The 27,846-nt window shown below is 37.2% G+C and overlaps 1 protein-coding gene across 3 annotated transcripts in view; it reads right to left on the bottom strand.

Moving 5' to 3' along the window:
• CSRNP3 (cysteine and serine rich nuclear protein 3) overlaps positions 1-26,444 on the bottom strand; it is a 219,710-nt gene extending 193,266 nt beyond the window's left edge. Inside the window, exons 1-3 of one of the 3 annotated variants that reach the window (XM_024453155.2) lie at positions 26,402-26,444; positions 25,268-25,390; positions 1,214-1,383 (exon numbers count right to left, since the gene is read on the bottom strand). The gene's annotated coding sequence lies outside the window, so the exon portion shown is untranslated. Of the gene's footprint in view, positions 1-1,213; positions 1,384-25,267 lie in introns of all 3 variants that reach the window. The other 2 variants (XM_047445908.1, NM_001172173.2) reach the window with 2 other exon arrangements.
• Positions 26,445-27,846: the final 1,402 nt, after the last annotated feature.

Here is a 27,846-nt window from a genome sequence, read left to right as displayed (position 1 = left end):
ATTTTTATTCAAAATTATTCTAACAGTGATGGAGAATTATGAATACCAAATAAAATTTTGAATCCTGGGGGAGAGGGAGGAGGATTAAAAATAGGATCTCGGGTCACAGAACTACATGGGATGAACTTTAGTGTAATTTTTTTAAAATTATACTTTAAGTTCTGGGGTAAATGTGTACGACATGCAGGTTTGTTACATAGGTATACATGTGCCATATCGGCTTGCTACACCCATTAAGGCTGTTTTGGTGAGTTTAAACTCCCCAAATACAAATACCCCAGAAAAATAATGCTAGAAAAAAACTATTGTGAAAACAGCCTCTCTTGAATGATACTCTTTTATGTTGAATAATTTTTACCTTTACTCGTGGAATACAAAGTTAAAAGGAAGTTTACACCTATCATCTCATGAGGGGTGGGTGAAGGTAAGGGGCTTTCACTTCATTTACTTTTGCTTTGCATGTTAACTCTTCTGAAATATAATTTTGAGATTCCTTTTCCCTTAATAATTGAGGCTGAATAAGCACAGAGCTGTTGGAAAAGGATCACCTATTTCACAACCTTCATATGTGCATCTTTTACAAGGATTGCCATTTGAAAATGAGTAGACTTTTAAGTTAGAACATATCATACTAAGCTAGATGGTATTATTCACATGAACTGCTTGGGAGAAGTATATACATGAAGAAAGCTGCCCTTACTCAAGAGCATGAACTTGGCCTTGAGTCTGAGTTTTAACTGTGTCCAAACAACTATAGGATCTCAAGGCTTTCAAGGCCTTGATTTCACATAAGCAATCTTTTAAAAAAGAAACATCATTTTCTCATCTAGGAAGTAAATGTGTTACACTCAGCACTGTAAATATTGTGTAACTCATTGACCAATCTATAGACGTTCAAAATGGCTTAACTGATTAGATTTCAAAAGATAGATTTATTTCAGCAAGCTGAAGACACTCATTAAATTATTTCCAGTTGCTGTCTGCTTACCTCCGATTGGACTCATTTCTGCCTCCTACATACTCACTCCATAGAAATGAGAAGAAGTATACTGCTGAAGTTTAATTAACCAAAATTATGTCATGTTTTACAAATATTTTGATATGAGGAAGAATTTAAGAGCAGATACAAGCCAGTGAATTAAGCTAAAGCCCCCAAGAGTGGCCCATGCAACACAATTTAGAGCACAACTGAAACAGAGTTTTAGATACTCACTGGTAAAATCATTAAAACTGAACGATTGACACTATCAACACTCTCAGTACTGTCACAGCTGAAAACTTCATCATCTGATTCCTGCACTGAAGAGCAGGGTGAGGAGCCGTTGACTTCTTCAAACTTCCCCTTTAAAATTCCACTCATAGCTGCAACGCTGTCACATGTACCTGTAACAGGAACAGGAGCAATGAAGCATTGAAATATTTGGCTGCTGATTGCATAGTCAAAGTCTCAAAGTCATTTGGGGGGGCTGTAAATTTTTGAACCACATTATCATATCCATGCAGAAATTATTCTCCCCATAATGTTGGAAAGCATTGAAAACTATTCTACCCTAAGTCGTTATTTTCATTCTCATTCTGACAACAGTGTCTTATAAGAAAAAGTAAAAATTAAAAATATGAATATATTTGCTGCATAAGGAGATATGGCTTAACTGTTTTGAAATGTCAAAATGGGAGTCAAATGCACTTATTTGATTTGTTCTAGTAAATCGTGTGTTGTCATTGACAGAGCCAGAGTTCAGAACAAAATAGATCACTCACTTGCATGCTGTCATATCCACAGCATACTGATTAGAGTATGTCTATCTTGCTTGGGATTTCTTTTTTCTCAGGTATAAGGGCATCTATTTTCCTGGGGCTCTTTGTCCATCAAAAATCAAATTGGTTGCTAGGAATGGCGATACCTGCAGAATTTAGATGCTTTGTCATGTTTCCAGTCAGTTTAGCAGAGCTACAGGGAATACTTGAGTCCTATGTCAAGGAGATTGGCTGAATAGATTTTATACATGGTAAACCAGAGTCCTTAAATCTTTTGTTGAATAAAATATTAATTTAAATCTCTTCACTCTCTGTATTAACATGGTCAGTGAAAGCCAGTCATATGTAGCCTGATACATTTCTTAAAATTTGTTTACATCAATTTAGATGAATCACTAAACCTGAGAGTAGTAATTTCTTCATAGCTATGTAGAGAGACAGTGAAGGTGATCATGGGTTGCAAACAAAAATTCCTACACTGGTAGGTAACCTCGATAAGTAAGTTGGGTCATATGTAATAGAACCATAGTCATCTTAGTCTTCTCTTTTGCCTATAGTTATTTGCAACAAGGATACCAAGAAATATTTCACCTGAAGGAAAATGAAAGCATAAGTACAATAGTAAATGACCTCTTATTCAAGGAGACAGTAGGTAGTAAGAAGTGTGACCTGTGGAGAGCCAGAGAAAGCATGCTCAGGCCAAAGGGTGAAGCTGTTACTTGGGTCCAGGTCATTTTGCTCTATGCTTTCCTTATTTAATCTCCTCTAACTCCGGCCAATGCTCCATTCATATTCAGATTCTGCATTTTTCTTTCTCTTATTAGTTTTGTTTACACAGTCAAAGGAGCAATTTTTAGACTGCACTGTAATTTAAATCCCAACTTGAACTGGCTCTACAAGATAGCCCAAGATTGGTTTGGATAGATAACTTGGAAGGGTTAACAGACTAGGGAATCAAAACAGTCTCTTCCCCATCAGCTCAACACACTATCTGAAACCCTCTTGACTAGAGATGCATCAGTTTGGGGAACAAATTTATTTTACAAAAGACACCTGCACAATATATGATACCAAGGAGAGGTGACATCTTAAGCCATCAAATACCAGCACGGTGGTCCTATCTATAACTTTCTGGTAGTAAAAATCAAGTCTAACTGAAGTGACTTTTTTTTTTTTAATAAAGTAGCAAACTAGGGACTGACCACCCTCCTTGTGCCACTCATGGACATCATGCTCACCTTTGATTTTGATGCTAAAATTCCTTGGGGCATATTTATTCCAGGTCTTTCTGCTGACTGGCTTCCTCTGTTTCTTTATTTTCTGCTTCCTCATATCCCCAGCTTATAGATGGCTTTGGCTTCTAACAGACTTACCTCTACCTTATCGTATCATCATATTCTGTCGGCCTCTACGCTGAACACCAGTGACTCCTTTTTTTTTTTTTTTTTTAGGGAATTTGAGTATCATCCTTTGGTCATTTATGCTGTTCTATAGAAAGAGATCTATTTGTCTGTCATTTGTTTAAGGGCCATTCATTATTCAGTAAACATCTACTGAGCTTTTATTATGTTTCAATGACTATTTTAGATGCTGGGGAGTGACAAAGAAGCAACATCGACAGCAAGTTTTGTTTTGTTCTTTTTTTTTTTTTTTTTTTTTACTCTAATAGTGCTTACTTACTGGGTGTTATTAGGGAAAGGAGTAGACAAATAATAAGAAGAAAATATAAATTAAATATATAAACATCATATGGAGATAAATACTATTGAGAAAAATAAGCCATTAAGTGATATGGTGACTATAGGGTTGACTGAGCAAGAACATTTAATTTTTAGTTGTTCAGTGAACTAATGTCACTCCACCAAGAGGTAATAACATGGAGGAGGTGAGGGAACCAACAATTTGGGCTTCTTAGGGAAAAGCAGTCTAGGACAAAGGAATGGTGTGTGCCAAAGCCCAAGAGAGACACAGTGGGTGATAAGGTCAGACAAGTCTTCAGGGCTAGACTGTGTAGAGCCTTCAAGGACTTTGGCTATTTCTCTAAGTGAGATGAAAGCCACTACAGGTACTTAAAACTATAGAATTTAAGTAGTATAGTGCCAAGATCTAGCTTACATTTTAAAGGGACAACTCATTAGCTTGCTATTTCATCAGAAAACAGAGGGTCTACAATAAAGAAGGTAGAAGTGATGGGAAAAAGGAAAATCCTAGTAGGGAGGATTCAGTGGCTCCGATGAGCAGTTACAATCAGAAAACCTGACAAGTCACAGGGCTGAAGAGGTCAATAGTTCCTTTGGGGTGGGAGTTGGGGAATAAGAATTTAGAAAGAGGACAAAGTGGAGGGAAGGTTAAGGTATTTCCTAAAAGAATTTGGTTACTTAATTTCATCTAGGACCATCTCTGGTTTCTAGCTTTGTTTTTTTTTTTTTTTTTATTATACTTTAAGTTTTAGGGTACATGTGTACATTGTGCAGGTTAGTTACATATGTATACATGTGCCATGCTGGTGCGCTGCACCCACTAACTCGTCATCTAGCATTAGGTATATCTCCCAATGCTATCCCTCCCCCCTCCCCCCACCCCACAACAGTCCCCAGAGTGTGATATTCCCCTTCCTGTGTCCATGTGATCTCATTGTTCAATTCCCACCTATGAGTGAGAATATGCGGTGTTTGGTTTTTTGTTCTTGCAATAGTTTACTGAGAATGATGGTTTCCAGTTTCATCCATGTCCCTACAAAGGACATGAACTCATCATTTTTTATGGCTGCATAGTATTCCATGGTGTATATGTGCCACATTTTCTTAATCCAGTCTATCATTGTTGGACATTTGGGTTGGTTCCAAGTCTTTGCTATTGTGAATAATGCCGCAATAAACATACGTGTGCATGTGTCTTTATAGCAGCATGATTTATAGTCATTTGGGTATATACCCAGTAATGGGATGGCTGGGTCAAATGGTATTTCTAGTTCTAGATCCCTGAGGAATCGCCACACTGACTTCCACAATGGTTGAACTAGTTTACAGTCCCACCAACAGTGTAAAAGTGTTCCTATTTCTCCACATCCTCTCCAGCATCTGTTGTTTCCTGACTTTTTAATGATTGCCATTCTAACTGGTGTGAGATGATATCTCATAGTGGTTTTGATTTGCATTTCTCTGATGGCCAGTGATGATGAGCATTTTTTCATGTGTTTTTTGGCTGCATAAATGTCTTCTTTTGAGAAGTGTCTGTTCATGTCCTTCGCCCACTTTTTGATGGGGTTGTTTGTTTTTTTCTTGTAAATTTGTTTGAGTTCATTGTAGATTCTGGATATTAGCCCTTTGTCAGACGAGTAGGTTGCGAAAATTTTCTCCCATGTTGTAGGTTGCCTGTTCACTCTGATGGTAGTTTCTTTTGCTGTGCAGAAGCTCTTTAGTTTAAATAGATCCCATTTGTCAATTTTGGCTTTTGTTGCCATTGGTTTTGGTGTTTTGGACATGAAGTCCTTGCCCACGCCTATGTCCTGAATGGTAATGCCTAGGTTTTCTTCTAGGGTTTTTATGCTTTTGGGTCTAACGTTTAAATCTTTAATCCATCTTGAATTGATTTTTGTATAAAGTGTAAGGAAGGGATCCAGTTTCAGCTTTCTACATATGGCTAGCCAGTTTTCCCAGCACCATTTATTAAATAGGGAATCCTTTCCCCATTGCTTGTTTTTCTCAGGTTTGTCAAAGATCAGATAGTTGTAGGTATGCGGCGTTATTTCTGAGGGCTCTGTTCTGTTCCATTGATCTATATCTCTGTTTTGGTACAAGTACCATGCTGTTTTGGTTACTGTAGCCTTGTAGTATAGTTTGAAGTCAGGTAGTGTGATGCCTCCAGCTTTGTTCTTTTGGCTTAGGATTGACTTGGCGATGCGGGCTCTTTTTTGGTTCCATATGAACTTTAAAGTAGTTTTTTCCAATTCTGTGAAGAAAGTCATTGGTAGCTTGATGGGGATGGCATTGAATCTGTAAATTACCTTGGGCAGTATGGCCATTTTCAAGATATTGATTCTTCCTACCCATGAGCATGGAATTTTCTTCCATTTGTTTGTATCCTCTTTTATTTCATTGAGCAGTGGTTTGTAGTTCTCCTTGAAGAGGTCCTTCACATCCCTTGTAAGTTGGATTCCTAGGTTTTTTATTCTCTTTGAAGCAATTGTGAATGGGAGTTCACTCATGATTTGGCTCTCTGTTTGTCTGTTGTTGGTGTATAAGAATGCTTGTGATTTTTGTACATTGATTTTGTATCCTGAGACTTTGCTGAAGTTGCTTATCAGCTTAAGGAGATTTTGGGCTGAGACGATGGGGATTTCTAGATAAACAATCATGTCATCTGCAAACAGGGACAATTTGACTTCCTCTTTTCCTAATTGAATACCTTTTATTTTCTTCTCCTGCCTGATTGCCCTGGCCAGAACTTCCAACACTATGTTGAATAGGAGCGGTGAGAGAGGGCATCCCTGTCTTGTGCCAGTTTTCAAAGGGAATGCTTCCAGTTTTTGCCCATTCAGTATGATATTGGCTGTGGGTTTGTCATAGATAGCTCTTATTATTTTGAAATACGTCCCATCAATACCTAATTTATTGAGAGTTTTTAGCATGAAGGGTTGTTGAATTTTGTCAAAGTCTTTTTCTGCATCTATTGAGATAATCATGTGGTTTTTGTCTTTGGCTCTGTTTATATGCTGGATTACATTTATTGATTTGCGTATATTGAACCAGCCTTGCATCCCAGGGATGAAGCCCACTTGATCATGGTGGATAAGCTTTTGGATGTGCTGCTGGATTCGGTTTGCCAGTATTTTATTGAGGATTTTTGCATCAATGTTCATCAAGGATATTGGTCTAAAATTCTCTTTTTTGGTTGTGTCTCTGCCCGGCTTTGGTATCAGAATGATGCTGGCCTCATAAAATGAGTTAGGGAGGATTCCCTCTTTTTCTGTTGATTGGAATAGTTTCAGAAGGAATGGTACCAGTTCCTCCTTGTACCTCTGGTAGAATTCGGCTGTGAATCCATCTGGTCCTGGACTCTTTTTGGTTGGTAAACTATTGATTATTGCCACAATTTCAGCTCCTGTTATTGGTCTATTCAGAGATTCAACTTCTTCCTGGTTTAGTCTTGGGAGGGTGTATGTGTTGAGGAATGTATTCATTTCTTCTAGATTTTCTAGTTTATTTGTGTAGAGGTGTTTGTAGTATTCTCTGATGGTAGTTTGTATTTCTGTGGGATCAGTGGTGATATCCCCTTTATCATTTTTTATTGTGTCTATTTGATTCTTCTCTCTTTTTCTCTTTATTAGTCTTGCTAGCGGTCTATCAATTTTGTTGATCCTTTCAAAAAACCAGCTCCTGGATTCATTGATTTTTTGAAGGGTTTTTTGTGTCTCTATTTCCTTCAGTTCTGCTCTGATTTTAGTTATTTCTTGCCTTCTGCTAGCTTTTGAATGTGTTTGCTCTTGCTTTTCTAGTTCTTTTAATTGTGATGTTAGGGTGTCAATTTTGGATCTTTCCTGCTTTCTCTTGTGGGCATTTAGTGCTATAAATTTCCCTCTACACACTGCTTTGAATGCGTCCCAGAGATTCTGGTATGTTGTGTCTTTGTTCTCATTGGTTTCAAAGAACATCTTTATTTCTGCCTTCATTTCGTTATGTACCCAGTAGTCATTCAGGAGCAGGTTGTTCAGTTTCCATGTAGTTGAGCGGCTTTGAGTGAGATTCTTAATCCTGAGTTCTAGTTTCATTGCACTGTGGTCTGAGAGATAGTTTGTTATAATTTCTGTTCTTTTACATTTGCTGAGGAGAGTTTTACTTCCAACTATGTGGTCAATTTTGGAATAGGTGTGGTGTGGTGCTGAAAAAAATGTATATTCTGTTGATTTGGGGTGGAGAGTTCTGTAGATGTCTATTAGGTCTGCTTGGTGCAGAGCTGAGTTCAATTCCTGGGTATCCTTGTTGACTTTCTGTCTCGTTGATCTGTCTAATGTTGACAGTGGGGTGTTAAAGTCTCCCATTATTAATGTGTGGGAGTCTAAGTCTCTTTGTAGGTCACTCAGGACTTGCTTTATGAATCTGGGTGCTCCTGTATTGGGTGCATATATATTTAGGATAGTTAGCTCCTCTTGTTGAATTGATCCCTTTACCATCATGTAATGGCCTTCTTTGTCTCTTTTGATCTTTGTTGGTTTAAAGTCTGTTTTATCAGAGACTAGGATTGCAACCCCTGCCTTTTTTTGTTTTCCATTTGCTTGGTAGATCTTCCTCCATCCTTTTATTTTGAGCCTATGTGTGTCTCTGCACGTGAGATGGGTTTCCTGAATACAGCACACTGATGGGTCTTGACTCTTTATCCAATTTGCCAGTCTGTGTCTTTTAATTGGAGAATTTAGTCCATTTACATTTAAAGTTAATATTGTTATGTGTGAATTTGATCCTGTCATTATGATGTTAGCTGGTGATTTTGCTCATTAGTTGATGCAGTTTCTTCCTAGTCTCGATGTTCTTTACATTTTGGCATGATTTTGCAGCGGCTGGTACCGGTTGTTCCTTTCCATGTTTAGCACTTCCTTCAGGAGTTCTTTTAGGGCAGGCCTGGTGGTGACAAAATCTCTCAGCATTTGCTTGTCTGTAAAGTATTTTATTTCTCCTTCACTTATGAAGCTTAGCTTGGCTGGATATGAAATTCTGGGTTGAAAATTCTTTTCTTTAAGAATGTTGAATATTGGCCCCCACTCTCTTCTGGCTTGTAGGGTTTCTGCCGAGAGATCCGCTGTTAGTCTGATGGGCTTCCCTTTGAGGGTAACCCGACCCTTCTCTCTGGCTGCCCTTAACATTTTTTCCTTCATTTCAACTTTGGTGAATCTGACAATTATGTGTCTTGGAGTTGCTCTTCTCGAGGAGTATCTTTGTGGCGTTCTCTGTATTTCCTGAATCTGAACATTGGCCTGCCTTGCTAGATTGGGGAAGTTCTCCTGGATAATATCCTGCAGAGTGTTTTCCAACTTGGTTCCATTCTCCCCATCACTTTCAGGTACACCAATCAGACGTAGATTTGGTCTTTTCACATAGTCCCATATTTCTTGGAGGCTTTGCTCCTTTCTTTTTATTCTTTTTTCTCTAAACTTCCCTTCTTGCTTCATTTCATTCATTTCATCTTCCATTGCTGATACCCTTTCTTCCAGTTGATCGCATCGGCTCCTGAGGCTTCTGCATTCTTCACGTAGTTCTCGAGCCTTGGTTTTCAGCTCCATCAGCTCCTTTAAGCACTTCTCTGTATTGGTTATTCTAGTTATACATTCTTCTAAATTTTTTTCAAAGTTTTCAACTTCTTTGCCTTTGGTTTGAATGTCCTCCCGTAGCTCAGAGTAATCTGATCGTCTGAAGCCTTCTTCTCTCAGCTCGTCAAAATCATTCTCCATCCAGCTTTGTTCCGTTGCTGGTGAGGAACTGCGTTCCTTTGGAGGAGGAGAGGCGCTCTGCGTTTTAGAGTTTCCAGTTTTTCTGTTCTGTTTTTTCCCCATCTTTGTGGTTTTATCTACTTTTGGTCTTTGATGATGGTGATGTACAGATGGGTTTTCGGTGTGGATGTCCTTTCTGTTTGTTAGTTTTCCTTCTAACAGACAGGACCCTCAGCTGCAGGTCTGTTGGAATACCCTGCAGTGTGAGGTGTCAGTGTGCCCCTGCTGGGGGGTGCCTCCCAGTTAGGCTGCTCGGGGGTCAGGGGTCAGGGACCCACTTGAGGAGGCAGTCTGCCCGTTCTCAGATCTCCAGCTGCGTGCTGGGAGAACCACTGCTCTCTTCAAAGCTGTCAGACAGGGACATTTAAGTCTGCAGAGGTTACTGCTGTCTTTTTGTTTGTCTGTGCCCTGCCCCCAGAGGTGGAGCCTACAGAGGCAGGCAGGCCTCCTTGAGCTGTGGTGGGCTCCACCCAGTTCGAGCTTCCTGGCTGCTTTGTTTACCTAAGCAAGCCTGGGCAATGGCGGGCGCCCCTCCCCCAGCCTCGCTGCCGCCTTGCAGTTTGATCTCAGACTGCTGTGCTAGCAATCAGCGAGATTCTGTGGGCGTAGGACCCTCCGAGCCAGGTGTGGGATATAGTCTCGTGGTGCACCGTTTTTTAAGCCGGTCTGAAAAGCGCAATAATCGGGTGGGAGTGACCCGATTTTCCAGGTGCGTCCGTCACCCATTTATTTGACTCGGAAAGGGAACTCTCTGACCCCTTGCGCTTCCCAGGTGAGGCAATGCCTCGCCCTGCTTCGGCTCGCGCACGGTGCGCGCACCCACTGGCCTGCGCCCACTGTCTGGCACTCCCTAGTGAGATGAACCCGGTACCTCAGATGGAAATGCAGAAATCACCCGTCTTCTGCGTCGCTCACGCTGGGAGCTGTAGACCAGAGCTGTTCCTATTCGGCCATCTTGGCTCCTCCTAGCTTTGTTAATTATTTGATGATGGCTGAGGCACCTTACCTACTAGATTTAAAATAAGAATCATCCAGATACCTTGTACCACTTGTGGTGCTACTGTGGCAAAATAACAACAAAAATGTAAATGTAAGCTTTCTTTTATCACTCTAAAGAAATATTTCTTTTAATTCAATAGAGAAAAGGCAATATGTAGATGGTGATCATTCTCAAGAATTTATTTATTAATAGGAAGATGGAGGCATGGACTTAATAACTATTTTATCTACCATTCTCCCTAAAGTTATTTATTCAAAATTTTTGAAAGTCAAATCACCACTACCTGCTACAATAGGGACTATAGGACTCTGGCTCTGGGTTGACCCTGTTTGAAAGCCAAGTAGCCTGCACCTTAAAAACTCACTTATAGACCTAACGTAACCTTTATTTGGTTAGAGAGATGCTCGTCTTGAAGTGATGTTTGACAGTTTTAGAAATATTGCAGGAAAGTTCTGAAAGACTGAAAGCTATTGTTGATTTTTTAAAATGTTGTTGTACCTTATGTTTATCAGTTATAGGAGACTATTTGGAAATTGTTGCACTATATAGGTGTTTAATTGATTTCTTTATCTAATATAAAATCAATGTAAATAATTTCTGTCAAGGTGATATATTTGCTCACATTTATACTTCTATGCCTTGGAAGCTCTGAAAATACTTGCACAAAGTCATTAGAGAAAGATTGAATTGTATGATTATGTATCTAAGCAAACACAAAAGTAAGGTGGAAAAAAATATTTTCCACCTTAGTTTCCGATAGACACAATATCTATCAGCACCTTGATCTTGGACTTCCACCCTCCAGAACTGTGAGAAATAAATTTCTGTTGTTTATAATTCTCCCAATCTATGATATTTTGTTGTGGTAACCAGAACTGATTAAGACACAGAATAATCAGTTTGAATTAAAATATTCAAAATGACAGTTTAGTAATTTTAAACAAAGCTTAGGAGACTCAGAAAGAGAAAGAAAGAGCGAGAGCAAGTGAGAGAGAGAGAGATTGAGTGAAAGAGAAAGGAATTGTTTTATTCTAGTTTGTTTTCACCAATCTAATTCTGTAGTACACTCTGGTTGAACTACCAAAATTGCGATGTTGTAATGATTCCATGGCAATAGAAGCAGGATTATACAGAGAAAGCTAAATTGTGAGAGAGAATAGGATGCTACTCCGTTTCAGATGTCTGCAGTAATAGGTGGGAAGGGAGGAAAACTACGGGAAAAGACAGTTATTATGAACATTCTTTATTGAGTTTGTCCCATCCACATAGTCAAGCAAAAGTGATCATAAACAATATTTTAAAAACACCCTATAATACAGAATGCTCTTTCTGACAGTACATGGCTGGAAGAAACTGTCAGCAAACAGGGGGAAGTACAGATGACTTGATTTATATTTTCTAGCACTGAAAAATTGTATTTGTTGTGTACGTTAGAAGTCAGAAGTTTCTCAATTCTACTCCCAGATCCGCTCACAAGTCCTTTGTTGGTCCAAAAAGATGATACCTTATTAGGTTTTTAAAATAGATCTCCTGTAATCCCAGGACTTTGGGAGGCCTAGGCAGGTGGATCACTGGAGGCCAGGAGTTTGAGACCAGCCTGGCCAACACAGTGAAACCCCATCTCTACTAAAAATACAAAAATTAGCCGAATGTGGTGGTGCATGCCTGTAACACCAGCTACTTGGGAGGCTGAGGCATAAGAAAAATTGCTTGAACCTGGGAGGTGGAGGCTGCAGTGAGCCAAGATAGCCTGGGTGACAGTGGGACTCTGTCTCAAAAATAATAAAATAAAATAAAATAGCTCTAATGGGAATTGTTGCATTATTACTGATTCCGTATACAATAATTCATTTTGAGACATATATAAAATACAATTTTCTTACTAGCATTCCTAAGATAAGAATTGTTACAATTGCTATATTTATTCAATAGAATGCTATGGTCTGAATATTTATTCAATAGAATGCTATGGTCTGAATATTTATTCAATAGAATGCTAGGGTCTCCCTAAAATTCATATGTTGAAATTCTAACCCCCAAGGTGGTGTTATTAGGGGCTGGAGCTTTGGGGACATAAGTAAGTCATGAAGGCGGATTAGTGCCCTTATAAGGGACCCCAGAAGAGATCCCTTGCCTTCCTGCCACATGAGGTTACAGCAAAAACATGGCTGTCTAGAAAACAGTCCCTCACCAGACACGGTATCTATCAGCACCTTGATCTTGGACTTCCATCCTCCAGAAATGTGGGAAATAAATTTCTGTGGTTTATAATTCTCCCAGTCTATGATATTTTGTTGTGGTAACCAGAACTGATTGAGACATAGAATAATCACAGTTTGAAATAAAATATTCAAAATGACAGTTTAGTAATTTTATACAAACCTAGAGACTTAAAAGAATATAAGGAGATTATTAGCATTTAAAAGTAATGGTAGAAAATTGTAAGTTATTAATTTTTATGCTATTGTTACAAGAAACAACTGTATTAGCAACTGACTCAGCACAGATCACTTACAGAATACAAAGGTAAAAATCTAAAATCTCCATTTTGAAGGAAGAACTACAATGAATGTTGACTACATTGACTTTTCCACAAATATAAGTTATTTTTCTAAAAATCAGATGGTTTAGAGCTTAGATGGATCCCCTGCAACGGCCTTAAATGTGTGTTGTTACCAGGCAAGTTTTGCAGACTACTATATCCAATGGTTGAGATTTTATGATTATGGAAAAGGGCACCTGAATGCCCTGCCCAGAGCCTAGGTATACTGAATAGCAAACCTCCACAACTGTATTATATATTTTTATATATACATTATTTATTTATATCTATATTTTTATATACATATATATATACATACACACACACACACATATACGTATGTTCTCTCTCCCTCTCCTGCCACTGCAAGAACACTTAATAAATAGCTTGGATATAATCATGGGCTTAGGTTGATTACAGGAGGTTAACTGGCAAAACCTAGAACAAGAATGGGGACAGTTTCTTGAAGGTAAAGATGGATGCAGAATAAAAGTGAATGTAGATTAAACAGTCCTGGGAATATAAGGTGAAAGTATATTTGGAGACACGGTAGAAAAATTCTGAGAGGCTGGAGGGAAACTCCTAAATGAGAACATTGATTTTTATCAATTTACTCATAGACAAGCAAGAGGTGGAAGAAACCAGCCTGGGTTGTAAGGTCTATGGGTAGACGATAGTTTCAAAAACTAGGAATTTTGGTATATCTCCCTTTGGGCTGAAAGGTAAATGGGAAGAATTGCTTCAATCTGAATTTGTGGTGATATCTGTATCCCTCAGGCAAAAGCACATCTGTTGACTGGGCATGGTGGCTCACACCTGTAATCCCAGCATTTTGGGAGGCCAAGGCGGGCAGATCACTTGAGGTCACGAGTTTGAGACCAGCCTGGACAACATGGTGAAACCTGGTCTCTACAAAAAAATACAAAAACTGGCCCAGCGTAGTGGGGCGTGCCTGTAGTCCCAGCTACTCAGGAGGCTGAGGCACAAGAATCGCTTGGACTCAGGAGGTGGAGGTTGCGGTGATTCAAGATCATTCCACTGCACTCCAGCCTGGGCAACAGAGCAAGGCTCCATCTCAAGAAAAAAAAAAAAAGCACATCTCTTAAATTTAAGATCTGAGAGGCTAGAGCTTCAAAACCCAGTTTCACCATTTAGGAAATGGTGAATCCTGAATAGGATCTCTTGAGCAAGTTATTTAATTTCTCTCAGTCTCAGTTTTCTTACCTGTCAAATGGGGCTAATAGTAGCTATTTTATTTTATTTTTTTCTTCTATTTTTATTTTAGGTTCAGGGAGTACATGTGCAGGTTTGTTGCATGTGTAAATTGTATGTCACAGGGGCTTGGTGTATGCATGGTCCCATCTCCAAGGTAGTGAGCATAGTACTCACTAGGTAGCCTTCCAGTCCACCTTCCCGCACTCTGTCTCCTCGAGCCCTCCCCAGTACCTATTGTTCCCGTCTTTGTGTCCATATGTATTCAGTATTTAGCTCCCACTTAAAAGTGAGAACATGCGGTATTTGGTTTTCTGTCCCTGTGTTAGTTTGCTTAGGATAATGGCCTCCACGTAGCTATTTCATAATGCCAGAATGTGTGTTGTAGGTGTTCTAATTTCCATACTCCCTACCCCACTGGTACATATTTTGTATTCCAGGATGCCTTGTATTAGAGCTAAAAACAAAAATCATACTCTAAAATCTTCTCTGGGTGTGTAATCTAGCCAGTGTAGCATAAAGGAGAACTATAAATCAGGAATGAGGGCTCACACCACACCGTTTCTACTTTGAGGTACGAATGAATAGAGGCAGCACAGAGAACTAGGAAAGATGGTGCAAAGTCTTCCTGTTGAGGATGCCCTGGCTCTTTTGGTGGGTGGGTGTGATCAGTTGGTGTCAGGGCACGTTGCCTCCCTTGTTAAGTGATCCTGTGTCTTGTCAAAGCCCACCCCACACTCCAGGAAAGAGGCTGGTGCTCCCTGAGTAGTCACCAGCAGTCTGGTTTGCACTGCAGTAATCTCAGGGGATTTGTCAGGGTATATTCCCTCCCTCATTAAGTGACCGTATCTTGCCAAGAGTCTACCTCACACTACAGGAAGAAGTGTGCATTGATTAACTCAGTATGTGCAATTTTATACCTGCAGTTTCTCCACTATTAACGTGAGCATATAACCTTCTCATTCAATATTTTCCAATACCATGTGCTTTTATTTGATTTTGGGTTTTGTGTCTAATACATTGTATTTCATTGAATAACTAGGCCATGATATTTAACCAAACCTCTAAAGGGACATGTTTGGTTTATTTTTAAGTATTTGTTATTATAAATCACAGTATAATTAGCATTTCCTTTTTTATTTAATTTTTTTTCATATTTTTATAGACATAGGATCTCACTATGTTGTCCAGACTGGTTTTGAATTCCTGGGCTCAAGCAATCTTCCTGCCTCAGCCTCTCAAAGTGCAGAGATTACAGGTATGAGCCACTGCACCTAGCCAACATTATATTTTTATATACATATATAAAATATATATTATAATATATATTACATATATTTTTATATTATATATATTATATATATAATATATAAAATTTTATATAATATAAAATATATATACTTGTGCATATCTCTTATTATACCTTTAACGATGAATTCCTAGAAGTGGAAATATTGAGTCTTCCATGCACATTGCCAATTTGGTTCTGCCAGTAAGGTTCTGCCAATTTATATTTCTTTAAGGGTGCATTGGGATATTACTTCACTCTTGCCAATGCTGTGGCAAAAAATATTGCTATTTTTTAAAACTGTTTATGAATTTGTCAGCTACTCAAGATAATAATTATAGTCAACACACATATAGTGCTTACTATGTGCCAAGCACTGTTCTAGCACTTCATATATGTACTAGGTAGGATTCTAAAGGCCCTTAAGATTCCCTACCATGTAATGTGTACACCCTGTGCCCGTATAACCCTAGACATGTGAACACTGTGAGATACCACTCCTGCGATTGTGTTATGTCTATGTTGCTATGTTTATGTTACATAGCAAAAAGGATTTTGCACATGAATTAAAGACCCAAACCAGATAGGGAGATTATGCGGGTGGGCTTGACCTAATCACATGAGCCCTTGAAATCAAGGTCTAGAAGTCAGATACTAAGGATGAGAGGGATTCGATGAGAGAGAGATTCTCTGTGGCTGACGTGAAGTAGGAAAGGGTCACATGACAGCACATGTGTGCAGCTTCCAGGAGCTGAGAGCAGCCTTCAGCCGGCTGACAGGCAGCAGGAAACAGAAACATCAGTTCTATCAGCCCAAGGAGCAGAATTCTGCCAAAAACAAGAATGAGCTTGGAAGTAGATTTTCCCCCAGAGTGACCAGATAAGAGTTCAGCCAAGTGACACCTTTATTCTGGCCTTGTGAGGCCCTGAACAAAGAACCTAGCCATACCGTGCAGGACTATTTTTTTTTTTTTTTTGAGACTGGTCTCATCTCTCACCCAGGCTGGAGTGCAGTGGCATGACCATGACTCAGTGCAGCCTCAGCCCCATGGGTTCAAGTGATCCTCCTGCCTCAGCCTCCAAGTAGCTAGGACTATAGGCATGTACCACCATGCCTGACTAATTTTTTTGATTTTTAGTAGGGATGGGGTCTCACTATGTTGCCCAGGCGCATCTTGAACTCCTGAGCTCAAGCAAACCTCCTGCCTTGGCCTCCCAAAGTGCCTATGCAGGACTTCTAACCTACAGTAATATAAGCTGATTAATAAATGTGGTTTTAAGTTGTTAAGTTTATGGGAATTTGTTACATGTTAATAGAAAATTAGTATAATATATATCAACTCATTTAATCTCCATAGCCATATAAGATAGGCATTATTATTAATAATACCATTTAGAGCTTAAAAACTGAAGCATATGGGGGTTAGGTGATGAGGCCAAGGTCACACAGGTAGTTTTAGAGCCAGAATTCAAACCCAGGCATTTGGGCACTTGAAATCATAATTTTATCATCACGGACTTTCATGACTTTTGATATCTCACTGCTTGATATTGTTTTGTCTTGTTTTTGAATACTTAGAATTACATTTTTTCTCCCACATACTTTCTTTTTATTCTTAATGTGTTTCTGTGTGTGTATGTGTGTGCCTACGTTACTTAATTTTCCTTTTCCTGGTAAAATATACATAAATATTGTTTATAAACATTCATAATAGCTATAAAAAAGACATTTCATTTGTGATTTTTGGTATGTTTCAATTATCTTTACAGAAAAAGTAGGTTATGAACACTCTTTATAGCTAGGTGCCTTCACAGGGTTTAATGAGAATTTTTTGGGATATTTTTCATATTGTCCATAATGTCCTGTTTATCTTTAGTTAATAAATAGCTTCGCTTTTGGATAAACAGATGATAATAATGTTCTTGAGTTTTTACTTGGTGTTAGAAACTAAATTCTGTGAACATGTTATCTTGTTTGCCCTTACAGTGATTCTGAATTAAGCATTATGCTTCCCTTTTTATCATGGAGCAACATGAAGCTTAGGATGGAAGTAACCTACATACACTGACAAAGGCAATTAAGTAACTGAGCTGGAATTAAAACTCACCTTGCCTGACTCCGTAGACTGTGCTCTTTAAGGTCATGCTACACCCCTTCTATATAAAACTTGGCATAGGTTTCCTACTCAATTTCTTAATAGACTGTGAGCAACTGAAGAATGGGATCTTATTTAAAGATTCAAGAAATGTTCAATAAATAACCAGGTACTTTTGAAGAAGAAAAGTAAGGTAAATAGAAGACAAGACATGAGAGTAAAGGAGTAGTTTCCAGATTTTCCTCATAGAGAAGAAGTTTAAACAAAATGGAATCATGCTTTTGGAAGTAAAACCTCTTTGGACAGCAAATATTTTTAAACATATGTACACGTGCTGCTTTTTTGAAGTTTAAAAGCACAACATGGGGGAGAGAAAAAGAGTGAAAATTTTTAAAAATTGAATATATTACTCTGATGAAGAATGAACACATATGTAATTGAATAATTTTGGAAGTGTTTTTGTATTAGAAACATTGGAGCTATTTTTATAGTTTGAAAATTGTAAAATGTAGACCATGTTTCAGCCTTTGAGTTAGAGGCTCTTTAATAACACAGTAGATATACATCTGTCTTAAAAATGCTTAGTGAAGCATGCATATACAAAATACAATCTGCAAGATTTTAGTAGGAGACTTTTGTGTTGGGAAGGGGTCTATGATGAAGTAGGTCTAATAATGTCCTTTTTTTTAACCTTTCTTTCGTTTCTTTCCTTTCCTTCCTTTCCTTCCTTTCCCTCTCTCTCTTCTTTCTTTCTTCCTTCCTTCTTTCCTTTCTTTCTTTCTTTTCTTTGACAGGGTCTCACTCTGTCACCCAGGCTGGAGTGCCAAGAGGTGACCTCGGCTCACTGCAACCTCCACCTTGCAAGTTCAAGCAATTCTCCTGCCTTGGCCTCCCAGGTAGCTGGGACTGAAGGCACTCACCAGCACGCCTGGCTAAATTTTGTATCTTTTGCAGTGATGGGGTTTCACCACATTGGCCAGGCTAGTGTCAAATTCTTGGCCTCAAGTGATCCACCTGCCTTGGCCTCCCAAAGTGCTGGGATTACAGGTGTGAGCCACCATGCCTGGCCTACCGGCCTACAATTTTTTTTTTTTTGAGATGGAGTCTGGCTCTGTCGCCCAGGCTGGAGTGCAGTAGCATGATCTTGGCTGATTGTAACCTCCGCCTCCCGGGTTCAAGCGATTCCCCTGCCTCAGCCTCCTGAGTAGCTGGGATTACAGGTACCCACGACCACACCTGGCTAATATATATATATATATTTGTATTATATATATATATATTTCATATATATATATATTTGTATTTTTAGTAGGGACGAGATTTCACCATGTTGGTCAGGCTGGTCTCGAACTTCTGACCTCATGTGATCTGCCTGCCTCGGCCTCCCAAAGTGCTGGGATTACAGGCATGAACCACTGCACCCGGCCTACAATTTCTTAATATTACATACCCTTCGTTAAAAGTCTTAGTGTACGTTAGCATAGAAAAGACTTAACAGGAATGGATATTATTTAAATATCCTCTAAATTTCCTTAAATTTATTTAATCATAGAATATTTTTTATGAAATCTTCAATTATATTTCTGAGATCTATGCCCCAATTTTGAAAATGCTTGATATTAATATTTTGAAGGTCCTATCTTTGCTCTTCTTTAATAATTCTAGGATTTGTTTTCACAATTGCACTTTCTCATACAATACTAAATTTACCAGCTGATGCCCAGCAATTTAATTGTAGTTAATATGGAAAAAAAGCCAGTCAAGAGGGATTTTTTTTCACCCACTAGCAAGCAATAATACTTAGGAAGTCATTACAAATACTGAGGATTATTTTGCTCCTTCCATTCTTGGCTTATAAACAGAAAAGCATGACTAGCAACAACAACTAAAAATTGCACACAATGGCTTACTATACGCCAAATTCTGCACTGAAAAGTCCTCTATGTACACCTGCCAATCTTCACAATACTACCCAGGTAGATAACTGAATTTTACAGATAAGAAAACTAAGGCTCAGATAGTTTAAGTAACTGGTCCAAATTTACACAGGCAATAAGAGGCTATGCCTGTTTGATTGCAAAGTCAATCAGTTAGGAAAGCCCATCAATGATTATCCTGCACTACCTAAAGAATAGATAGATAAGCCAAAGTCACAGTACCCCATTAGCTCAAATGATGCATTTCTAGAAACCGGCATGCTGCCTGCATGACTGAATCACACCTTTAAGGGGTATATGTATACCACAGTATAGCTCCATGTAAATGAACACGTTTACAGTACATTGGTAAGCACTCCTTTTCCTTCAGTTTAAATTCATCAGGATATTTCATTCGTTATTCTTTTGGTTATTTTTACCTAGTTGTGGTGATATTTATATCAAAGGACTTCTACCAGTCCCATATTATCTGCTTACCTTTACCCTGAGGCATAGTAAACCCCAGTGACACACAGCAAGCAAGCATGCACACTTGTTTTCTTTGTAGCTTATGCAGCATTGTCACTTACCAGGCATTACGGCTTAGAATTGTTCACCAGAACAGACCACAAATGGCAGAAAGTGAGCCCAGAGCAGCACAAAAATATTGCCAAACAATTTTAACTTTAATCAAATGTTGTTGAACAAATTTAACTCAGGAGAATGGGGATTCATTGACTAAGAGTGGATGTATGATAGCACTCAGATTGGTTAAATATATACTACTATATTTTCTTACACAAACATTAATTAACACTTGTATTATATATTAATATAACAATTACAGTTAATTACATTAATTTACAATTAACCCATTGATTTAGTATATGATAATCTGTGTGTGTGTATCAGAAACCAAGCAGTATTATAATGAAACAGAGCAGGGAAGCATGAAATGGGAACTACATGCAGATAAAATCCCGTTAATGTAGGAGAGCACAGATAGCGTTTGGACAATAAAAAGTCTGCAAGACAAAACCTTGCATGGCTTAATGACATTTAGGTGACATGGACATTGTCACACTGAATAGCATTAACAGAGAAGAACATGGAAGGAAGAGACCGTCTTAGAATGTAAGGAGTGTCTGCCATTGAGAGGATGTAAGAGGAGGCTAGATGACTATCTGACAAGACAATTTGCTTAATTATTCAATCGGCAAAACAATCTGGGGGCACATACTGTGTATCAGGCATTGTATTAGGCATTGATGCAGAGATGAAGGAAACTCCTTGTCATCAAGAGCTATAATTTAGATAGTGAGCGAAAGGGTACTGAGAGATCACAAAGTGGCTGTCATGACCACACACCAAGAAGCTCTGGCAGGGAGCACAGGACAGGCCCACGGCTTCTCTCCTTGGCCCTGCCTGTATGTTGTGGGAAGATCTCTGAAAATGGATTATAATGGCATCCCCAAGATCAGTTTTCCATTTAACACTCAGCTCTAGGTAAGTTCAGTGGGCAGCATGAGAGCAGCCCCTTGGGGCCCTTATTGATTTGGATGCACAGGGGGCAAATCATTTAAAATTTTAAGTATGAGTTTCATGAGCAACGAGAAGGGAATTTTAATTAGACAGAACAAAGACGTCTTTTTTTTTTAAATCACTTTTGAAACCCTTTTCCAGAATCTTTCTGCTTTAAAACGCTGACACCATCACAACCAGTATTACCTGGTAATGACTGATGACAAATATTGATTTTTCATGGCTAGCCTAACCTGAGGAGAGAAAAGCAAATGAAAATCTTTGTAAATACATTCAGGGCTCCTGTTTAGGAAACTATTTGTTTCATTATTAAATATATTGTGATATATCCACAACATGACAGCAACTAACTGTATCCACACTTGCTAAAATACAAAGCTGAAATGCATTTTGACAGTGACAGCAAACTAAAAAAGTCAAGGAGACTGTGATAGTAGGTCAAAGCCACTAGGCTCACTGGATATCAGGGGCAGGTCTGAAGTGGAGAGTTCTATGCAACTCTAAAATCCCTGTGTTGTTATGCATCAGAGACCATCTGGCCACACCATGCTTTTTCACCTCCATGCAAAGCCTTTCTAAGTTCTGCTTTTCTTTCATCCAGTGTTTAATGCACTATATCTAATATTTAATACAAACACATAGTGTCTTGCTTTGTAATTTTGCATAAGCAAATACTTAGTTTCCCACTAAATATGATCATTGTCCTCTCTGCGCCTTAATTTTGTCATAGGTAAAATGAAGAATCCAGGAAGAAATTCTCTCTACACGGCAGTCCCATGTTTCTAGGGCAATAAAAGACTAAAATATGAAAAGGTAATACATGAATTAAATGAGTATAGGCCAAGGAATTTATAGTAAATATTGTTTAAAGACATAAACATTTGCATAAAAATTACTTTTGCCAGGGACAGTGGTATAAGCCTGCAATCCCCCAGCCACTTGGGAGGCTGCAGCAGAATAATCATTGGAGCCCAGGAGTTTGAGGCTGTAGTACACTATAATCTTGCCTGTGAATAGCCTGCTGCACTCAAGCCTGGCAACATAGAAAAGCCCTATCTCTAAAATATAAAATAAAATAAAATAAAACAATATGATAAAATAAAAAAATATAAATTTAAAAACTACATTTGATAGTGTTGGTGATTTTTGTTTAAAATAATGTCATTTTTATGAATGTGCACAAGTCAGGAGATAAGGAGAAATGTGTGCACCACCCTTTGTGGTATTGGAAAATAATGTATTAAGCTCTTGATCTAAGTAAAGTATAAGAGCTTATTGGAAATAAGTCACATGCATGCTTATCTTCTTTTCAGGCCATGATATGAGATCATGAAGTTGATCATGAAGTTGATCTCGTATCAAAGTGATTTCCTTACTATACGTAGTTCATAGAAATAGCACTGATATTTATCTAGATCGTTATAATCTTGAATTAAATACCTTACAAGTTATATTGAGTGTTTTCTCAGGGCATGCATATTCAACAGTTTTCAGCTCAAACAATTTAGGCCATTATAATATCTGAAATCTAAGCAATTGACAGAGAAATCAAATGATCTGCCCAACTGATTCATTGAGATATGTGAAATATCCAAATGTGACAATTAGCTTGATAAATCCATTCCTTGCTTCTTCATACCAAATCATAATTAAAAAGCAATAATGCTGCTTTGAACCAACCCCCTTTTAATATCTGTATAAGCCCTGTATTAAACTATCAGGTATTAAATATATTAGTCAAAAATAACATCTGATTAATAATACCTTTGAGTTGTGATGTACTATAGTACAAATGTTAATGTAATTTTTTCATTTGACTGGATTAGTTTATGTATACAGCACAATTTGAATATTATTAAATCTGACCCAAGCTTTCTTACTCTCATGTTATTTCCATTTCTTGTAAATGCCACCCCTCCATTTCCAGCAATAAGAGGTTATTTGCCAAACTAGCATATTTCCATTACAGATGTAAAGTTGTCTACTTATATTATAGGGGAAGTAATTAAGTATTTTGTTTTCTTTAGTATATTTTGTGAGACTTTAAGAGGCCATGAAAACCCACCCACAATTCTGGCAAGCTACGTTTAGCAAAGAAAGAAGCATGAAGCAGTAAGTAGAAATGACTAACAAACTGTATTTTTAAATTATCTGTAGTTGAGAGTAAGCCTACGAAATGCATTCTCTTCAGGATCTTGACAAGCATTGATAATTTTGGTTGTGCCTTAAATAGGGGTTGTCTACACAGGTCACATAATCCATTTACTAGTCTATCTGATTTGTTGTTAGCTTGCTTTTTAATGTCATCAGTGTTTATGCTGAAAGTGCTGTCACTGAAGTGCTTTGCTCGTGTTAATTGATAAAAACAAAATACTTCCCACCATCTTAGCTTTTTTTGAAAATAACGTACTGACATGCCAAATTAATTTAACTTTAAATAATATGTTGGCTACATATTAAATATTTTAACACGTAGTTTAAGCATGTGGTGCTTTATTTGCTACATTGCTAACATTGAATCTAATAGACTAAGGTTAATATTATGAAAATAAAGTATGATATGTCACAAATATTTAAATGAGTTGTAAAGAGAAAATAAGAGTTAGGAATCTCATCTGAATTATAACAAAAATAATAGGAAAGCTGTTAACAGCTTTATGATGATTTTTCCTCTTAACAAATAGCTGAGAGATTTGAAAAAAATGGTGTATGGGATGACAGTGCTGCCTTTGAAGCATGTAATTTTATAATAAAAATGTTTTAAATTAAGGAATTGCCTAGGGTAGAATATGATGATAATTGTGATTTTTTTTTGTATAGAGAAAAGCTACATAAAAGTAATGTTTATTTTCAAAGAAAGCAAAAATGTTTCAAATAAAGCAAAAAGGATATATGTGCATTTACAGTGATTTATATTAAATTTTAAATTAATTACCTTAACATTAACACAAATAGCTTTTAGGTTGTTGGAATGTGTAATTTTTTATACATATTAAATAGATTACAAAGGTAAGGAAATAATTGCATTAATGAAACATGGTTTGGACGTTAAGTTTAAAAAATTCTTATTCTAATGTCAAAATGTGTATTGAATGCTCCTCACTATCCATAGCCTGGACATATACCAAGCTTCTCTCTTTATGATTAAAGTGATTGATACATTAAAAAATACTTCTTAATTTATTGTATTATTCATTATATTGCAAACCACTGCAAACATAAAGAGAAAAAGGAAAGAGTGTTGTGAAAAGGGGACAAAGCTGTATATAGTGAGCTCCATTAAAAACCTACATTTAAATCTTAAAAATGTTTGTACCAAAGGAAAAAAAAATGGTGATGCCTTCCCATTTCTCACTGAAAGCCTTACATGGTTTTCATTTGCCTTGTTTCATCCTTCACTTGGACAGTAACCTCTTAACTGTTTTCTTTCATGCTTTTTTTTTCTCTCTTGTCTCCACTCCAGCACACATTCTCTCTCTCTCTCTATCTCTTCCTGTGGACTCTGCAGTAAAAGCTACCCCAGTTGTCTCATTTTTATAAGACTTGCAGACGTCTGCCAGTGGCTGATAGGAAATGCTGATTGAGAAAGGGTTTATCTACTTTTCATCCAAAATATGTGAACCATTAAGGAAATTATAAAAAGCAGCAACAATATACTCTGGTTTTATTCAGTCCTCTCCCTTAGTGATTATTAAAAGGGTGATATTTTTAGCCAAAGAAAGCAAAATGCATCTGCAGCAGCTGGTTTCCAAGGAAACAGAATAATTTAAAACCATGTGGAACTCTGCTCTCTAATTTTCATCAATTCCCCTTCATTCCTGGAGGTAGCTTTACTCAGAATTTATAATTTCTAAAAAATATAGCTGCATTGATTTATTTCCTCTAATACATTTTAGGAGATGAATATCTGGTCTTATATATCACCTTGAATTTCAATCTTGGGGTGAGGGGTGGATTAATTTCAACCATTGTTTTGCTTAAAAAAACAAAATCGGAAAGATCCATCAATAATTAGAAACATGCCAAAATTTCAGTATTATGTAATAATTTTTGAAATCCAGAAACAGTTCAAAATCAACCATACCAGAATATTTACTTGGTTCATTATGACACTTAACCATATAAACATGTTATTAACTATATTTAGTACTTTTAGGAAATTTAAGGTAATTCTCAATTCATTTAGATAATCCATACTAATATTCAGCAATTTTCTCACTCATTTTAATTTTCCAAGAACTATTATATTTGTGTCTGTTTATTCAAAGACAAAATCTCTCAAACAAAAAAAGTACAATAAATAAAAAAATTTGAAAAACAATAAACAAAAAGAAAAACAATAGCAAAAAATATTTAGAAATTATATAGTCATTCCTATTAGTTTTGATTCATTCAAAAAGGTATTAAAATATGTAGGAACAAATTATTTACCTCATTGAAAGACTTTTATTTTATTATTATAATCAACAGGTATTAATCGATGGCCAGTGTACTGAAGTCAGTCATAATTCTTGAAAGTTCAATTTTAATGAGGTTCTACCACCGTTAAATGACCTGTATTTATGAATTAAAGTAAAGAATTAAGTGACTGGGAGTTCAGTTTTTTTGTATGTTTTTACTGCAAGTGTGTTATTTATTCTACATACTTAGAACTTGTCCCTTTTTTCCCTAAGGCAATATAAAGGACCATATTAGGAGATACAAGCACCTAGTAAAGTTGCTAAAAAAAAATTGCCTAGAGATATTATCAACAATATAAATGCTCTGATGGAATTCTTATCTAGATGTGTTTGACTGATAAATTAAACTACCCATGAAACATGACTGTTAAGATGCTATTTTTTACAGCAATGTTTAATCTTTCAAAATTAGGTTTCTGTGCTTTAAAATAAAAATGGCTCCATGTAAGTTAACAAGTAGAGACAAACCATTGTTTAATTATCACATAAGCTTAAAGTTTGCTGAATAAAATAATGCAAATATTGAACAACATGAGATTTATCAAGAGGAGTAAGTTAAATAACAGGGCTTAAATGCACACAAATCATTCATTCTAAATTAATGCTAAAAGAGTCTACAACCTGCAAAAATAGTTTTCCTAAGCCTTTTACTGTATTGTCAATATTAAAAGCCATCACATGAAATTTTATATTGTATATTCACAGAAGGCTCCATTTTCTCAGGACCTGTGGAATTTACCGAGGTTTTCTCATCCTTCCTGCGATTCCTAGTAACAAGCTTGAATTAAACATTTTTGAAGAGACACATGATGATTCATTTTATCTATTAATTTTGCTTCAGTGACACTTGCATAGAAAGTTATTTAGGATAAGACATGCCTCTGGTGATTGTTTTGTTTTGTTTTTAATCAGCTAAGGATTTTGCAGAGAGAAAGAACAGCAAGCTCATTGCAAAGCTTCCTCAAGTAATAAAAGGGACACACTTTCAGAAAATGTCCTCAGAATAATTTTCCTACTATAAAATTGTTTCCGTAAAAATTAAGAAGCATTCTCTTTTAAAGAAAAAAAGAATTCTCTTTTCTTTTTTTTTATTTTTCGCTCTTACCTGTAAATATGGTTTCTGTACTTCGGCTCCGTCAGAACACACTGAAGAGAGTACACTCCTCCCTCGTCTATCCATCAGGCGGCAGCCAACCAATAACAAAAGCCAGATCCTGGCATTCTCTAGCTCATGCTCCCTGCTTTGCTTCCATTTCTTGTTCCCTCCCACCTCCACTCTTTTAGAGGACGAATCCCTGCAGCTGGGAGAGAGGAAGCGAGTGGAGAAAAGAAATATGGAGAGAAAAGCAGAGATGCAAGATATTTCAAAAAATAGCTCCCAACTATGGAAAATGTCTGCAGATGACCTCAGCTGAAGTAAAAAGTCTTGCTTTGGATTTAGAAAAATAAAGTTAATCAATGCCTCACCTACCTGAAATCAAAGCAAAATGCTCATAGTAAAACCTAGGTAAATTGCCTGTTTTTTAGTTCCCACTGATTTTTCTCAGTGAAAAAAGTGTACCTCCTCATTATACATTTTGATATGCAGACAGAGGAGGGAGACTGAACATCAAGATGACATTTTGCATATTCAGTTTGCAAAGAGATAGAATTAAAATGAATCAACACCCTTTATACTTATGTTTTATATTATTTGCACTACAACCTCTGTTTGACAATGTTTTCATTCAAACGCAGTTTCGAGGCCTAATCAGTATGAAAAATATTTCATTCTGAGCATTAGAATATTCAAATATTTCACAGTTATGTGGTTTGCATTACTTCAGATTCCTTAAATGCCATCAATTTGTGAATAATGGAACTTATTAAAGATTAAAAAGAGATCAGTCACTTGGTTGCCATGCCTCAAAGTGACCAGCTGAACTCCAATTTTATTCTAATAAACTTAAACAAAAATCATTTCACTTCTGAACCTAGAGGCATAACATGCATTAAAGGACAGTTAAAGAAAACACCAAATTAGGATTTTTTAAGGCAATAAAGCAAATTCATCCAGTTTCAAACAGTTTAATTTTTAAAATACTGTAATACAAACCAGGGATCTTTATGATAAAAATTCTCTCAATTGAGCTTCCTCTAGTGGAGGTGGTCTGAAAAATTTCCTTAGAAAGACATATACAGTAGATATCACCACTATAGAGGTATGTACTGGCTACTTGAGGTATTTATAAGCCTTGCTCTTCAATTTCTTAAATCAGTAATGTGTCCTCATGGGAATAAGGCCAAAGGGAGTAAAATTAGAGGGAAGGGCAAGCAAGCATTCTTTAAGAGTTACTGGCATGGTGGCAAATCATTAGTCCAGGAATATCTGTACAGGAAGGGCTTGGGGTGTCAATATTGTTAGGAAAGGAATGGCTGGTGACTTAAACTGATACTAACTTTAGATAGGAGTGCACTGATTTTGCTTAGTTTGCACTGTTATTTAGAGTAGCTTTGGGAGGCTCTGCTAAAGATTATGGGGAAGACTAAACTATCGCTTATTCCCACCGC

Source organism: Homo sapiens, chromosome 2 (assembly GCF_000001405.40).
Source record: "Homo sapiens chromosome 2, GRCh38.p14 Primary Assembly".
NCBI lineage: Eukaryota > Metazoa > Chordata > Mammalia > Primates > Hominidae > Homo > Homo sapiens.
The sequence above is the reverse complement of the archived record's forward strand: the minus strand, read 5'-3'. Positions and strand labels throughout refer to the sequence as shown.